General features: G+C 40.7%; 1 protein-coding gene across 8 annotated transcripts in view; it reads left to right on the top strand.

Moving 5' to 3' along the window:
* The window catches only part of SETD2 (SET domain containing 2, histone lysine methyltransferase), a 148,405-nt gene that overhangs the window by 98,133 nt on the left and 34,437 nt on the right, over positions 1-15,835 (top strand). For 7 of the 8 annotated variants that reach the window (NR_146158.3, XR_007095670.1, XM_024453487.2 and 4 more), the window contains 2 exons: positions 4,362-4,545; positions 9,218-9,887. Coding sequence is in view for 5 of the 8 variants with exons in the window: in XM_024453487.2 (XP_024309255.1) it covers positions 4,362-4,545; positions 9,218-9,887 (854 nt within the window). In the remaining 3 variants the exon portion in view is untranslated. Of the gene's footprint in view, positions 1-2,077; positions 2,154-4,361; positions 4,546-9,217; positions 9,888-15,835 lie in introns of those variants that run through there. The other variant, XR_002959514.2, reaches the window with a different exon arrangement.

Genomic DNA, 15,835 nt, shown 5'->3' with positions numbered 1-15,835 from the left:
CTTAAACCTATACTTCTAGATGTCTTTGGGAGGGTCTTTACCTCAAGATATTTATATGCAGCTGGGCAGGGTGGCTCACACCTGTAATCCTAGCACTTTGGGAAGTTGAAGCAGGTGGATTGCTTGAGCCCAAGAGTTTGAGACCAGCCTGGGAAACATGGTGAAACCCTGTCTCTACAAAAAATACAAAAATATTAGCTAAGTGTGGTGGTGTGTGCCTATAATCCTAATTACCAGGAGGCTGAGGTAGGAGGATCACCTGAGCCTAGGAGATTGAGGCTGCAGTGAGCCATGATCGTGCCACTGTACTCCAGCCTGAGCAACAAAGTGAGGCCCTGTCTCTAAAAGGAAAAAAGATGTTTACATGTAAAATTCTGTATGTACACAGTTGACCCTTGAACAACATAGGAGATACAGATACCCTGTGCGTCGAAATTCCACATAACTTTTGACTCCTCATATTATGTATGTTATGTGTATTATGTAACTGTATTCTTAAAATAAAGTAAGCTAGATAAAAATGTTATTAAGAAAATCATAAGAGAAAATATATTTACTCTTCATTAAGTGGAAATAGATCATCATAGAGGTCTTCATCCTTATCTTCACCTTGAGCAGACTGACGAGGAAGAAGAGGGATTAGTCTTGCTGTCTTGGGTGGCACAGTTAGAAGAAAATCCACATATAAGTGGACTTTCATCCAGTTCAAACTCATGTTGTTCAAGGGTTGACTGTATTTACTTTTCTGAGGCAAGTTCAAAACTTTGATCAGATTCTCAGTCACCCCTGAAAAAGTTAGAATCATTGTTTCAGAATGGATAGCAGGGAGGCCATGGGAATCTGGTTTCTGGACTTTACCACTTAGTTACATTTCCAACAAACTTATTTATTGATTTATTTTTTAGAGACAGTGTCTTATTCTGTCATGCAGGCTGAGCACAGTGACACCATCATAGCTCTCACTGCAGCCTTGAACTCCTGGGCTCAGGCAATCCTCTTGCCTCAGCCTCTTGAGTAGCTGAGACTATAGGTGTGTGCCACCATGCCTGGTTATTTATTTATTTATTTATTTTTTGTAGAGACAGAGTCTCGCTATGTTACCCAGGCTAGGCTTGAACTCTTGTCCTTAAGTGCTCCTGTTTCCACCTCCCAAAGTGCTGGGATCACAGATGTAAGCCACTATGCCCAGCCTTAAGAATTTCCTTCCTTTCTTCCAGCACACTTACTTAGAGATTCAAGGAATAGGGTCACTTATGGTGGTTATTGGTTTCATGAGTACCTCCACCACTGACCCACTAAAAGTAGAATGAAGAAGCCAGTGTGATTTTTTTTTTTTGTCTTTTTATTTTTGGTGTGCATAACTTTTTATATAATCTTAGTCTTATTGGTTAAAGACCTGTGAGATAACCTTTGCACCATTGTTTGTCTTTCGAATATTTTTAGTTCCACTCTCTGGTTTAGTCTCTTCATAGCCTCACATTCTACTTAGGGCTGCAAATAACTCTTCCTATAAAAAAGAAGGCAGGACTGGGCAATAGTGGTTGGCAAAACCAGTGGCACCACTATAGGGTTGATTATCAGAAGCTAGCTTTCTGGGATCACTGAGTTAAAACTATTAGTAGCACACAAGCAAAGCTTAAATACCTATGAGCGTTTCTCCATAATATTTTGTAAATATCTAGTCTGGTGTGGCTAGATATTTGCAAATTATTGTGGAGAAATATTTTGCATCCATGAGATGCAGAGGATGATCTGTAATGAACAACTATATCTTTTCAGGGAGTAGCCTCTTTTCTGCCGACCTTAGTCTCTCTTTCACATGTAGAACCCTTCATCTCAGTCTCAGGTTTCTAAAATAAGAAAATGCTTATAATATATAATGCTTATAATTATTTTATATTTTTATATATTATATTATTTTATATATTTTATATATATTTACATATATATAATATATATAAGCCTGGTTTCCATTTCTTAATGTCAAACAAAGCATAGAACCTTTAAAATTTGGAAGGATTGTGAAACACTTCAGGAAATACGTAGTCTAACTTTACCCTCATTTTTATAATATTAGGAAATCAGCCTGAATAAATGGAATGACTTGTCTGCCTCACATATTCTAAGGTGCAGAGTCAGAATATGAACTGTTGGTATGATTCCTTTTTTGTTTTATCAGGGTATAGTGAAGAAATAGTCACATTTTAAGGAAATTTATACTAGGTAAGAAACCTGGGTTTGCAGGAGGAAGCAAGATAGACGTGGGTAGATCCAGATGCAACTGGATAATGGTACCTCATAAAAGGATATAGTGCTAATACCTTGTGAACTGGAGCACTTAATTTAATTATACTGCATTTTCTACCCGGATGTGGTACAAATGAGTTCTGTTAGCTTCTTGTTGACGAATGCTCATACCTGGCTGTAGTTTAGTAACCATGTTGCAAATACTTGGGGTTTTGGGCCACCTAAAAGAACTGTGAGAAATGCTTATGAAACCTAACTCGGTTGCTGAGGGAGTAAAACAACCCATAGAACATTTTTATGAGATGAGAAAAAGAAAAAGCAGTAAATGTTTATTGAGACTCTTCCTTGTCCTATGAGAGAAATTCTCAATAAGAGAGCAATACTAACATACACAAAGCAACAGCATATTATGCCAGTCAATTGATACTGAAATGTTTAGTGGTGAGATTTAGTAGTTGTTGTTTTTTTTTTTCCTCCCGAGATGGAGTCTAGCTCTGTCGCCCAGGCTGGAATGCAGTGGCGCGATCTCGGCTCACTGCAACTTCTGCCTCCCGGGTTCAAGCCATTCTCCTGCCTCAGCCTCCCAAATAGCTAGGATTACAGGCACCTGCCACCGTGCCCAGCTAATTTTTGTATTTTTAGTAGAGGAGAGTTTTTACTGTGTTGGCCAGGCTGGTCTCAAACTCCTAACCTCATAATCTGCCCGCCTTGGCCTCCCAAAGTGCTGGGATTACAAGCGTGAGCCACAGTGCCCGGCCGAGATTGACTTCTTAAGGAGATGAGAAACTAGGAGGTGTGATCAGTGAAAAGTAGTACTTAGGACAGCTTTGGAGAGCACTGGAATGGAATTGGGTAAGTGAAAACAGTGAGATTAAGAACGATTCTAGGTAAAGAGAGACACTGTAAATTAAGAAGGTTATTAATACCATCTTTGAATAGGAAGCTGGCATTCTGATTTTTTGGTTTGTCGGTTTGTTTTTTTAAGAGACAGGATCTTGCTCTGTTGCCCAGGCTGAAGCGCAGTGGTGTAAACAGAGCTCATTGCAGCCTAGAATGCCTGGGCTGAAGCAGTCTTCCTGCCTCAGCCTCTTGCAAGTAGCTGGGACTACAAGTGTGTGCCACTATGCTCAGCCTGGTATTATGTTTTTTTAAGATGTAGCTCTCTGGCTTTGATGACTTCCAAAGTTATCACCTGGGTTTGATATATTTTCCTTTTATATTTATACCTTTGACTCTTGAACAACACAGGTTTGAACTGCACAAGTCCACACATACAGTGGATTTTTTTGTCAACCAAATCTACATAGAAAATATAGTATTCATAAGATATGAAACCAGCCTATAAGGAGGGGCAACTTTTTGTATATGTGGGTTCCGTGAGGTGGATTGTGGGACTTGAGTATGCACAGATTTTGGTATGGAGAGAAGGGGGTTCCTGGAACCAGTCCCCCATTTATACCAAGAGATAACTGTAGTTCATTAAAATGTTGCCTGATAAGCCACTTTTTTAATTTTAAGAGATGGGGTCTTGCTTCGTTTGCCCAGGCTGGACTGCAGTGGTGCAATCATAGCTCACTGCTGCCTTGAACTCCTGGGCTTAAGCAATCCTCCCAGCTCAGCCTCCTAAGTAGCTGGGACTACAGCCACCATGCGTACCTTTAAAAAAAAAAATAAACTTTTCTCATTGAGGTTCTTATGCTTAGCACATCAGGCTGCTTTTCTATAGATTATAAATATGAAGAGTTATAGGGTAGTTGAAGGCTTTTACATTTTTGAACTGGCAAGTAAACTGCCTTGCTAAATGTAATGGGAATATCTTGCATGCATGTGCTCACAGAACTTATTATAGAAATGTTAACGGCTTAGACTGAGTCTTTGGAGGGAAAGAGGAGAAAAGGGCATTTGTGAAAGAGACTTTTAGTGAGTAGAGTGAACACAGACATAAGACCTTGTATCTCTTTCAAATTCAGAACTGGGTAGATGACGGAGGAGTCCATAGATACATTTGTTGGATAGAAGTTTTATTATACAGTTGATACATTGTCATGATGGAGAAAAGTCCACCAAATAAACTTAAAAAAAAAAAAAACAAACAAACCACCCTTTTCCCTTAGCAACTGAACGAGGAAGGGATGCTGTTGGCTTCAGAGATCAAACACCTGCCCCGAAGACTCCTAATAGGTCAAGAGAGAGAGACCCAGACAAGCAAACTCAAAATAAAGAGAAAAGGAAACGAAGAAGCTCCCTCTCACCACCCTCTTCTGCCTATGAGCGGGGAACAAAAAGGCCAGATGACAGGTAAGTGGCCTGTGTGAGTTTTTTTGTTTTTGTTTTTGTTTTGAGCAAGTTAAAAAGTACCCAAGTCATATACTTCTGATTGTGAACATCAAGGGCTTTTGGAATTAGTATTTGCATTTTGATGAGTGAGTATACAACTTTACTGATAATCTTAAGACAGATTCTCTGTTGACAGTAGTAGTAGCTGTGAAGATTAATAGGTTTTGATTCTTGAATGGCTCCTATTTGATAATATTTAAATGTCGTTTTGGGAGCCAAAGATTTGTTCTTTCGAGCGCAATGGGGGTTGGTGGGAGATAAGTCTTCAAAGATAATGGTTATTCTTTAAAAGCTAGAACTTTGTTTTCTTATGAGTTTTGTGCCATACTAATTAAAATGCTGATTTTTAATAAATCTAGTCAGAAGCTCTCTTGTTATGCTGGTAGAAAAACAAACCATGTAATCGTTTACTGGAGGCTAGAAAACATTTATCCCAGACAAGTTCTTTTTAAATTAAATTTGCTTTTTAAAAAATTGAGATAAAGCATTTATATACTGCATTTGGCAGAATTTTTTAGTTTTAAAGTATCTCGGTATGTAATGTGATTTTTATTTGCATTCCCCTAATTACTAAATAGATTGAACATCGTGTCATGTATTTATTGTCCATTTCTTTCTTTGGCATGTAGTTACCCAGTTTTCTCAGCACCATTTATTGAAAATGTGCTGTCCTTTCCCTACTGTAAGGTGCTGTCCTTGAAAAGGTGCTGTCCTTTCCCTACTGTAAGTTCTTGGTGCCTTTGTTGAAGTTGAGTTGGTTTATAAACGGGTGGATTTATATCTGCATTCTCTATTCTGTTCTGTTGGTCTATGTGTCTGTTTTTATGCCAGTACCATGTTGTTTTGGTTACTATAGGTTTGTATTGGCCATTTCTGTTTCCTGTTCTGTGAAGTATCTTTTTTTTTGAGACAGAGCCTTGCTCTGTTGCCCAGGCTGGAGTGCAGTGGCATGATCTCGGCTCACTGCAAGCTCCGCCTCCCGGGTTCACGCCATTCTCCTGCCTCAGCCTCCTGAGTAGCTGGAACTACAGGTGCCCGCCACCATGCCCGGCTAATTTGTTGTATTTTTAGTAGAGATGGGGTTTCACCATTTTAGCCAGGATGGTCTCGATCTCCTGACCTCGTAATCTGCCTCAGCCTCCCAAAGTGCGGGATTACAGGCATGAGCCACTGCGCCTGGCTGTTCTGTGAAGTATCTTATATGTGTTGTTCATTCATTGAATTATTTGTCTTTTTTAGTTTTATGTGTCCTTTATATTCTAAATATAATTTTGTCTTGGTGATAATTGTTGCAAATATCTTCTCCCAGTTTACGGCTTGTATTTTGACACTTTTTGTACCTTTTGATACATGGAATTTATTAATTATGGTTTAGCTGAATGTGTCATATATGGTATGTTTTCTTTATGGTTTTTTAAATTGTGTTTTTAGAAATCCTCCCTTGAGGAGGTGATTTTTTTTGTATTTTAAGAGAATTAAATCCTTAATCCATTTGCAATTAATTTTTGTATATATTATAAGGGAGGGATTCAGTTTTATTTAATACCCAATTGTCCCAGCACCATTTACTTGAAAACCCATCCTTTTCACTTGTCTGCAGTGGTGCCTCTCTCCCACAAATTTTCATATATGGGAAGATCTCTTTCTGGGGCTCATGATGACTGTAGCTTCTATTAGGTCTTGGTAGCAAATCACTACTGCCTTCTTGGTTTTCCTCTGGGAAATCTTGTCTTTTCTCAGACTTTTACTCTTCTTTAAAATCTGCTTCCTTAGAACCCTACCCACCAAAGAGATGATTCTGTAGCGACTTGACATTGATACAATTTTGAGTATGCTTATCTCTGTCTAATGAGGTCTCTGTTGAGACAGGGTCTTACTCTGTTGCCCAAGCTGGAGTGCAGTGGCATGATCATGGCTCACTGCAGCCTTGCTTTACCTGCACCAGCTCAGGCAGTCCTCCCACTTCAGCACCCATCCAGTAGATGGGACTACAAGGAAGTGCCACGATGCCCGGTTTTTTTGTTGGTTTTTTTGTAGAGACGGAGTTTCTCCATTTTGCCCAGGCTGGTCTTGAATTCCTGGGTCTCGAGGCTGGTGGATCACCTAAGGTCAGGAGTTCAAGACTAGCCTGGTCAACATGGTGAAACCCCGTCTTTATTAAAAATACAAAAAATTAGCTGGGCATGGTGGCTCATGCCTGTAATCCCAGCTACTTGAGAGGCTGAGGCATGAGAATCACTTGAACCCAGGAGGCAGAGGTTGCAGTGAGGTGAGAACACACCATGCACTCCAGCCTGGGTGACAGAGAAAGACTGTCTGAAAAAATAAATAAATAAAATGCATACAGTTTTGTAACCACCACCACAATCATGATACAGAGCACTTCCATCACCTTAAAAAATTCCCAGCCAGGCGTGGTGGCTTGTGCCTGTAATCCCAGCACTTTGGGAGGCCGAGGCGAGTGGATCATGAGGTCAGGAGTTTGAGACCAGTCTGGCCAATATGGTGAAACCCCATCTCTACTAAAAATACAAAGATTACCCGGGTGTGGTGGCACATGATTGTAGTCCCAGCTACTCGGGAGACTGAGGCAGGAGAATTGTTTGAACCCGGGAGGCAGAGGTTGCAGTGAGCTGAGATTACGCCACTGCACTCCAGCCTGGGTGACAGAGCAAGACTCCGTCTCAAAAAAAAAACAAAAAATTTGCGGCCGAGCGCAGTGGCTCACGCCTATAATCCCAGCACTTTGGGAGGCTGAGGCGGGCGGATCACTTGAGGTCAGGAGTTTGAGACCAACCTGACCAACATGGTGAAACCTGTCTCTACTAAGAATACAAAAATTAGCCAGGCATGGTGATGCACCCCTGTAATCCCAGTTACTGGGGAGACTAAGGCAGGAGAAGCACTTGAACCCGGGAGGTGGAGGTTGCAGTGAGCTGATATCACACCATTGCACACCAGTCTGGGTGACAAGAATGAGACAACCTCTCAAAAAAAAAAAAAAAAAAAAAAAAAGGCCAGGCGTGGTGGCTCACACCTGTAATCCCAGCACTTTGGGAGGTTGAAGCAGGCGGATCACGAGGTCAGGAGATCAAGACCAACCTGGCAAACACTGTGAAACCCTGTCTCTACTAAAAATACAACAACAACAACAACAACAAATTAGCCAGGCATGGTGGCGGGCACCTATAGTCCCAGCTACTCTGGAGGCTGAGGCAGAAGAATGGCATGAACCCGGGGGGTGGAGCTTGCAGTGAACAGAGATCGCGCCACTGCACTCCAGTCTGGGCAACAGAGTGAGACTCCATCTCAAAAAAAAAAAAATTCCCCTGTGCCCCTTTGTAGTCAGTCCCTTCCACATCCCTAACTCCTGGCAACCACTGATCTGCTTTCTGACCCTCTGGTTTTGTCTTCTCCATAATGTCAAAAAAGTGATATATAGTATATAGCATTTGAATTTGCCTTCTTTCACTTGTCGTATTGCATTTTAGATTCATTCATCTATGTTATTTTGTGTCTCGGTAGGTTTTTTTTTAATTGCTGAGTAGTCCATTGTATTCATGTACCATAGTTTATAAATTCATCATTTCAGAGACATTTGGCTATTGTGAATGTTGCTGCTATGTACAAGTCTTATGTGAATATTCTCCCTCTTTGTGTTTTTTTTTTTTTTTTTTTTTTTTGAGACGGTGTCTTGCCCTGTTGCCCAGGCTGGAGTGCAGTGGCGTAGTCTCAGCTCACTCCCACCTCTGCCTCCTGGGTTCAAGCGATTCTCCTGCCTCAGCCTCCTGAGTAGCTGGGATTACAGGCACACACCACCAGGCCCAGCTAATTGTATTTGTAGTAGAGATGGGTATTTCACAATGTTGGCCAGGCTGGTCTTGAACTCCTGACCTCAGGTGATCTGCCTGCCTCATCATGCCTGGCCTCTCCCTCATTTTTGAAAGGAAGTTTTTTTGGGGAAATAGTTTCTCTCAACATTCTGACTCTATTTATTCTTCAGTTTTCTGGCTTCCCTTAACTGGTTTTGTGAGACTTGGTCTAATTTTCATCCTTCTTTAATCGGGCTTTTCTCTTGGTCTGCTTTTAAGAGGCTCTCTTTGTATATGTCTTTCTGCTGTATGTTTTTATGAGGATTTCTTTTTCTTTTCCCAGTTGGAATTCATTGGACTTTTGAATTTGAAGGTTATTTTTCAACTATTTCTCTTCATATCTAATCTCCTGCTTAACCGTACTGTGGAATTTAGGGACAATAAATTGGATTGAGTATTGGATTATTTCTTGGTTTATGACACTTATTTTGTTTTTTATTTTAATTTTAGAATTTGTGATTATAGAAATGTCCCCAGCTATAAAGAATAGGATGCTGTATCTATCTTTAATCTTAAAATTCTAGAAACTAAGGGTAGAGATGAAATTAGAGATGAAATTATTTTCATCTCTTTGTCAATTCCTTGGGATTCTGTTCTGTGTGCAAGACAAGCTGAGTAATTTTGAGTATAGTTGTAAACCAGTGCCAAATAGGGTTTGATGTGGTTAGTGGTTTAGTCATGAGTGACATAATACTTATTAGTGCTTTGATTGTGTCTATGATTTAGGGAGCAACTTTTTGTGGTCCTTATTTTCTTTCTAGATATGATACACCAACTTCTAAAAAGAAAGTACGAATTAAAGACCGCAATAAACTTTCTACAGAGGAACGCCGGAAGTTGTTTGAGCAAGAGGTGGCTCAACGGGAGGCTCAGAAACAACAGCAACAGATGCAGAACCTGGGAATGACATCACCACTGCCCTATGACTCTCTTGGTTATAATGCCCCGCATCATCCCTTTGCTGGTTACCCACCAGGTTATCCCATGCAGGCCTATGTGGATCCCAGCAACCCTAATGCTGGAAAGGTGCTCCTGCCCACACCCAGCATGGACCCAGTGTGTTCTCCTGCTCCTTATGATCATGCTCAGCCCTTGGTGGGACATTCTACAGAACCCCTTTCTGCCCCTCCACCAGTACCAGTGGTGCCACATGTGGCAGCTCCTGTGGAAGTTTCCAGTTCCCAGTATGTGGCCCAGAGTGATGGTGTAGTACACCAAGACTCCAGCGTTGCTGTCTTGCCAGTGCCGGCCCCCGGCCCAGTTCAGGGACAGAATTATAGTGTTTGGGATTCAAACCAACAGTCTGTCAGTGTACAGCAGCAGTACTCTCCTGCACAGTCTCAAGCAACCATATATTATCAAGGACAGACATGTCCAACAGTCTATGGTGTGACATCACCTTATTCACAGACAACTCCACCAATTGTACAGGTAACTAATTCTGAAACTTTTCTTTTCTGCTTTATGGTCTGTTCATGGGATGTTAGTTAAATCTGGTATAGGGGAGGAAGTCTTACCATGGACTACTTGTATATATTGATCAACTTTATATGTATTGGTTATCTATTGTGTGAAATATTGCCAGAACTTGTCAGCTTAAGACAATAAGTAACTCAGAAGCAGCTTAGCAGGGTGGATCTGGCTCAGGGTTTTCCATGAAATTACAGTCAAGCTGTTGGCCATGGCTGCAGTCATCTGAAGGCTGAACTAGATATAGAGATTCACTTTCCAACCTACTCACATTGTTGTTAGCAGGCCTCCATTTCTCCCAAGGGAGAACCCTTCATCATGGTAATATTTTTGTGTTTTCTAAAAATCATGGTCAGGCCAGGCGTGGTAGCTCACACCTGTAATCCCAGCACTTTGGGAGGCCGAGGTGGACGGATCACCTGAAGTCAGGAGTTTGAGATCAGCCGGGCCAACATGGTGAAACCCCATCTCTACTAAAAAATAAAAAAAATTAGCCGGCCATGGTGGCTCATGCCTGTAATCCCAGCTACTTGGTAGGCTGAGGCAGGAGAATCGCTTGAACCCAGGAGGCAGAGGTTACAGTGAGCTGAGATAGCGTCACTGTACCCCAGCCTGGACAACAGGGCAAGATGCCATCTCAAAATAAATAAATAAATAAATAAATAAATAAATAAATAAATAAATAAAAATCATGTTTTCTTTTCTTTTTTTTTTTTTTTAGATTATACAAGGCAGAACTTTTTTTTTTTTTTTTTTTTTTTTTTTTTTTGAGACGGAGTCTCGCTCTGTCCCCCAGGCTGGAGTGCAGTGGCGCGATCTCGGTTCACTGCAAGCTCCGCCTCCCGGGTTCACGCCATTCTCCTGCCTCAGGCTCCCGAGTAGCTTGGACTACAGGCGCCCACCACCACGCCTGGCTAATTTTTTTGTATTTTTAGTAGAGACGGGGTTTCGCCGTGTTAGCCAGGATGGTCTCAATCTCCTGACCTCGTGATCCACCCACCTCGGCCTCCCAAAGTGCTGGTGGGATTACTGACGTGAGCCACCGTGCCTGGCCGGCAGAACTTTTTTTTATTTTTTATTTTATTTTAAGAGATTAGGTCTTGCTCTGCCACCCGGGCTGGAGTACAGTGATGCGATCATAGCTCACTACAGCCTTAAACTCCTGGGCTCAAGTGATCTTCCCACCTCCCAAATAGCTGGGACTACAGGTGTGCATCACTGTACCCTGCTAATTTTTTTAAGAGATGCGGTCTCACTGTGTTGCCCAGGCTGGTCTTGAACTCCTGGCCTCAAGCAGTTCTCCTGCCTTGGCCCTCCCAAAGTGTTGAGATTACAGACGTGAGCCACTGTGCCTGGCCAGCAGTACATTTAAAGCTTTGAAAAAAAAATGTTCAAAGCATTATCATCACCACATTTCTGTCTCTCTCCCAGCACTCCTCATTACCCCTTAAAAATGAATTATTGTGGATGTTGAAGACTCCCAACAATGTTTCCTGCACATAATACTTAGTATTAAACAGTAATTTTTACTTCTGTTCATATTTTCATAATGAAGCTGTATTAAAACATTTGTTAAAATGGCCATGACAAGGTATCCTGTTTTAATTACTAAAACCCTAACTGTATTAACTACTTTCATTTTTTATGATCCTTTAAAGCAAGTTTTATGTATTTTATATATTTGTCTTGACTTGAAGTTTTTTATCCCATGTTTTCCTACTTAAAATGATTTTTTTTTAAGATAGTAAGTCAGACTTTATTTAAGAGGAGCCAGTGGGGATAAGTATGGGGACCACTGTGATGGGATCTTGGAGTAGGGGAAAGAGATTTGACTCAATTCCTTAAAATGATTTGTAACCACTTTTTCAAATTATTTACTATTATACTATATGTGTGTGTGTACATATACATATACATACATAAATGTTTTAATGGGTATAATACCCTATTTGCTTATATAGTCATCCATTTTACTGGGGGTAGTCATTTAAATGAAAAGTTATTTTTCATAATTATAAATAGCATTCCATTAAACATGCTTATAGTTTTTTTCTGCTTTTTGTTTGCTGTTTGGTTTAAAATGACTGTTGTTACAGAAGGCTAGTAAAAATGTGGGCATTATTGGTCATCAGGTGTGAATTGTTTGTGTGTGTGTGTAGGGAGAGAGTATGTTTCATTCTCCCTCCTACAGAATGTTTTGGGTTTTGGTTTTGGTTTTGTTTTACTGTCAGTTTGACTTGGGTATGAGCCATATTCTTTCTTGGACCAAGCCATTAGTTTTGAGTTTTTCCCTAAAAATATGTATCAGGGATACAGTAAAAATGGTTTATGTCTATCCCCATTCCTATTCCTGAAATAGGTCCCATCTCAGTACTAGAGCCTAAGCAACAGCAATGAAAGATATCCATTAAAGACTCCTCAGTAAAGAGCTCCCTGGTCATATGATTTTTCTTATAAAATAAAATCCATTTATTCCTTCCCAATGAGAAAAAAAGATTCTCTTGGTTTTATTCATTAGCCCTAAGAGCCAAGCATCACAATTTACTTGCTTCTAGTCTTTCATTCTGTCCCTATCAAGAAGTACTTACTGATTCCCTAATCTACTTTGTGTGTACTTAAGTAGTAGGTAAATGGGCTGTGGTGGTTCAACTATCCTTCCGTTCCCCACTGTGTGAGATTAATTGATCAGATGATACTGGGCTTTGGGGGTATTGAGAAACATAGAATATATTGTTAGTATGTGTTTTGAGTCCTGGTTTATCATTTACTGTGCATCCTAGAAACAGGCATTAATATTCTTGAGTCTTTGTTTTCTCATCTATAAAATGAGCAGAATGCCTCAGAATGGTTTGATTTGCATTAAGATAAGGGATATTAATAATGATAGATTCAAAGCACCATATACCTTGATGGTTACTTACACAAATAGTTACCTTAATAGTATTCAGGGGAGATTATTGACATTAATGGGCTGTGAAGTAACATCTGGTCATGTTCATCCATCTGTTGTCTAGCCCTAAAAATCTGACCTCTAGGAGCCTTGAAGTTTGTGTTGTTGAAGCCCAGTGTTAACCATACAACATGGCTACTCAGAGTTTGCAAGCTGTGATAACCTTGGCGGTGAAGTAATATGTAACATGATATAATATACATTTACGTCTGTGTATCTACATATTCAGTATCTTTAATATTTGGAGCAAATGTGTTATCAGAGGTGACTGATTTTTTTACACAACTGCATACTAAACATAAAAGCTCAATTTTAACAGAGGTCACGTAATTTGTAGTGGTCTTGTGACACTAATAAGTGACTTACTCTCACAAAGTTATACAAAATTACATCTCAAGAGTTTGAGTGCTTAGACTATAATTTTTCATTTTAGGTTGGTGCAAAAGTAGTCATGGCTTTTGCTGTTAAAAATGGTGAAAACTACTTTTGCACTGACATAGTATAAAGTGAAGTGATCCAGATATAAAGTAATAATGATTTTTTATTATTCTAGAGGTGGTAACAGAAAAATTGTATTTTTCTCTCTATAACCTATTGGACCTTCTCACATTTCTTCTGTAATTCCCATTAGAAATCACATTTTAGGCCGGGCATGGTGGCTCACTCCTGTAATCCCAGCACGTTTGGAGGCCAAGGTGGGCAGATCACCTGAAGTCAGGAGTTCGAGACCAGTCTGGCCAACATGGTGAAACCCATCTCTACAAAAATACAAAAATTAGCTGGGCATGATGGTGGGTGCCTGTAATACCAGCTACTGGGGAGGCTGAGGCAGGAGAATCATTTGAACCCAGGAGGTGGAGGTTGTGGTGAGCCAAGATTGCGCCATTGCACTCTAGCCTGGGAGACAGAGCGAGACTCTGTCTCAAAAAATAAAAAAAAGTCACAGTTTAAAGATACTTCTAGTGGGTATATATTTGAGAAACTAGCATTCGTGTAACAATTTTTTTTTATTTTTGGAGACAGAGTCTGGCTTTATCACCCAGGCTAGAGTGCAGTGGTGCAATCTCGACTCATTGCAACCTCTGCCTCCCAGGTTCGAGATTCTCCTGCCTCAGCCTCACTAGTAGCTGGGATTACAGGTGTGCACCACCATTCCTAGCTAATTTTTTGTATTTTTAGTAGAGACAGGGTTTCGCCATGTTGGTCAGGCTGGTCTCGAACTCCTGACCTCAGGTGATCCACCTGCCTCGGCCTCCCAAAGTGCTGGGATTACAGGCTTGAACCACCATGCCTGGCCACATTTGTGTAATTTTAAGTCATTTGAATGAGTGGGCTCTTTAAATGTGATACAGGTTTTTCAGCCGGGCGTGGTGGCTCACATCTGTAATCCCAGCACTTTGAGAGGCTGAAGCAGGAAGATCACTTGAACCCAGGAGTTTGAAACCAGCTTGGGCAACATAGTGAGACCCTGTTTCTACAAAAAGTAAACAAAATTAGCCGAGTGTGGTGGCACATGCCTGTGGTCCCAGCTATTTGGGAGAGCTGAGGTGGGAAGATTGCTTAAATCCAGGAGGTTGAGGCTGCAGTAAGCCGAGATTGTGCCACCGCACTCCAGCCTGGGTACAAAAAAACGAACATTCATGTTTTTCTGTGATACAGAAAAAACAAAAATCTCGTATAGGTTTTTCCTTAGCAAATAGAAAAGTCACATGATATATGTACATGTGTCAACAAACGTGTATATCTTCTGCATTATTCCAGTCAAACTGGTTTATAGAAACCAAATTAATACTGTTAAAAGCCTAGAAGTCTAGGCTTTTAACATAAGTAGATACTGCTGTTGTTATCTCCCAGCCAACATTTGGAAGTGTTCTTCTAAACCACAGCTTTATTCCATATGAATCAAATACTAGTGTCTGCATAATGAGCCTTACTTAAACATCCGGTCTTGTCAGAAAAATTCTTCATGAACATATTGTCACTGATGGCCAAAGAAATTTTGTCTTCCAAAATATTAGCAGTTTTCTATTGTACATTTGGATGATTGACTTCCTGGTCACTCTAGAAATAACATGTTTTACCCTGGTGATTTTTTTTTTTTCAAAACTAGAATTCGAACTAGCTTTTTTATTATTTTATAAAATCAATATCAGAATATTAAATGTTCACACTCAAAATATGTTAGGTAATTATGAAACCCATTCTATTCCAAATAAGTGAAGATACCAGTAGTAGGAAATGAAGTCAAAGAAGTTACAATAGGGTCTTAGGGGGAGCTTTAAAAGGATTTTTGGTTGTTAGACTGAGTAATGTGGAAATCCACTGGAGCAGTTAGAATTGAATAGCGTGATCTGACATATTTTGAGAGGATCACTGGCTGCTCTGGGTAAAAGAGATTGCAGGAGTCAAGGGCAAAAGTAGGAGACTGGCCAGGCATGGTGGCTCATGCCTGTAATCTAAGCACTTTGGGAGGCTGAGGTGGGAGGATCGCTTGAGCCTAGTAGTTTGAGATCAGCTTGGTTAACATGGCGAAACCTCATCTTTACAAAAAATACAAAAATTAGTTGGATGTGGTGGCATGCTCCTGTAGTCCCAGCTACTCGGGAGGCTGAGGCAGGAGGATCATCTGAGCCCAGGAGGTCAAGGCTGCTGTGAGCCTTGATGGCACCACTGCGTTCCAGCCTGGGTAACAGAGTGAGACCTTGTCTCAGAAAAAAAAAAATGTAGGGAGACAAATAATGGTCATGGCAAGAGAATATGGTCACTTGCACATGGTATGAGTAGAGGGATAAGAAAATAGGCCAGGTGCGGTGGCTCACATCTATAATCCCAGCACTTTGGGAAGCCGAGGTGTGGGGATCACTTGAGGTCAGGAGTTCAAGACCAGCCTGGCCAACATGGTGAAACCTTGTTTCTACTAAAAATACAAAAAAATTAGCTGGGCTTGGTGGCGCACGCC

Source organism: Homo sapiens, chromosome 3 (genome assembly GCF_000001405.40).
Source record: "Homo sapiens chromosome 3, GRCh38.p14 Primary Assembly".
Classification (NCBI taxonomy): Eukaryota; Metazoa; Chordata; class Mammalia; order Primates; family Hominidae; genus Homo; species Homo sapiens.
Note: the sequence above shows the minus strand (reverse complement) of the source record. Positions and strands in the feature narration are given on the sequence as shown.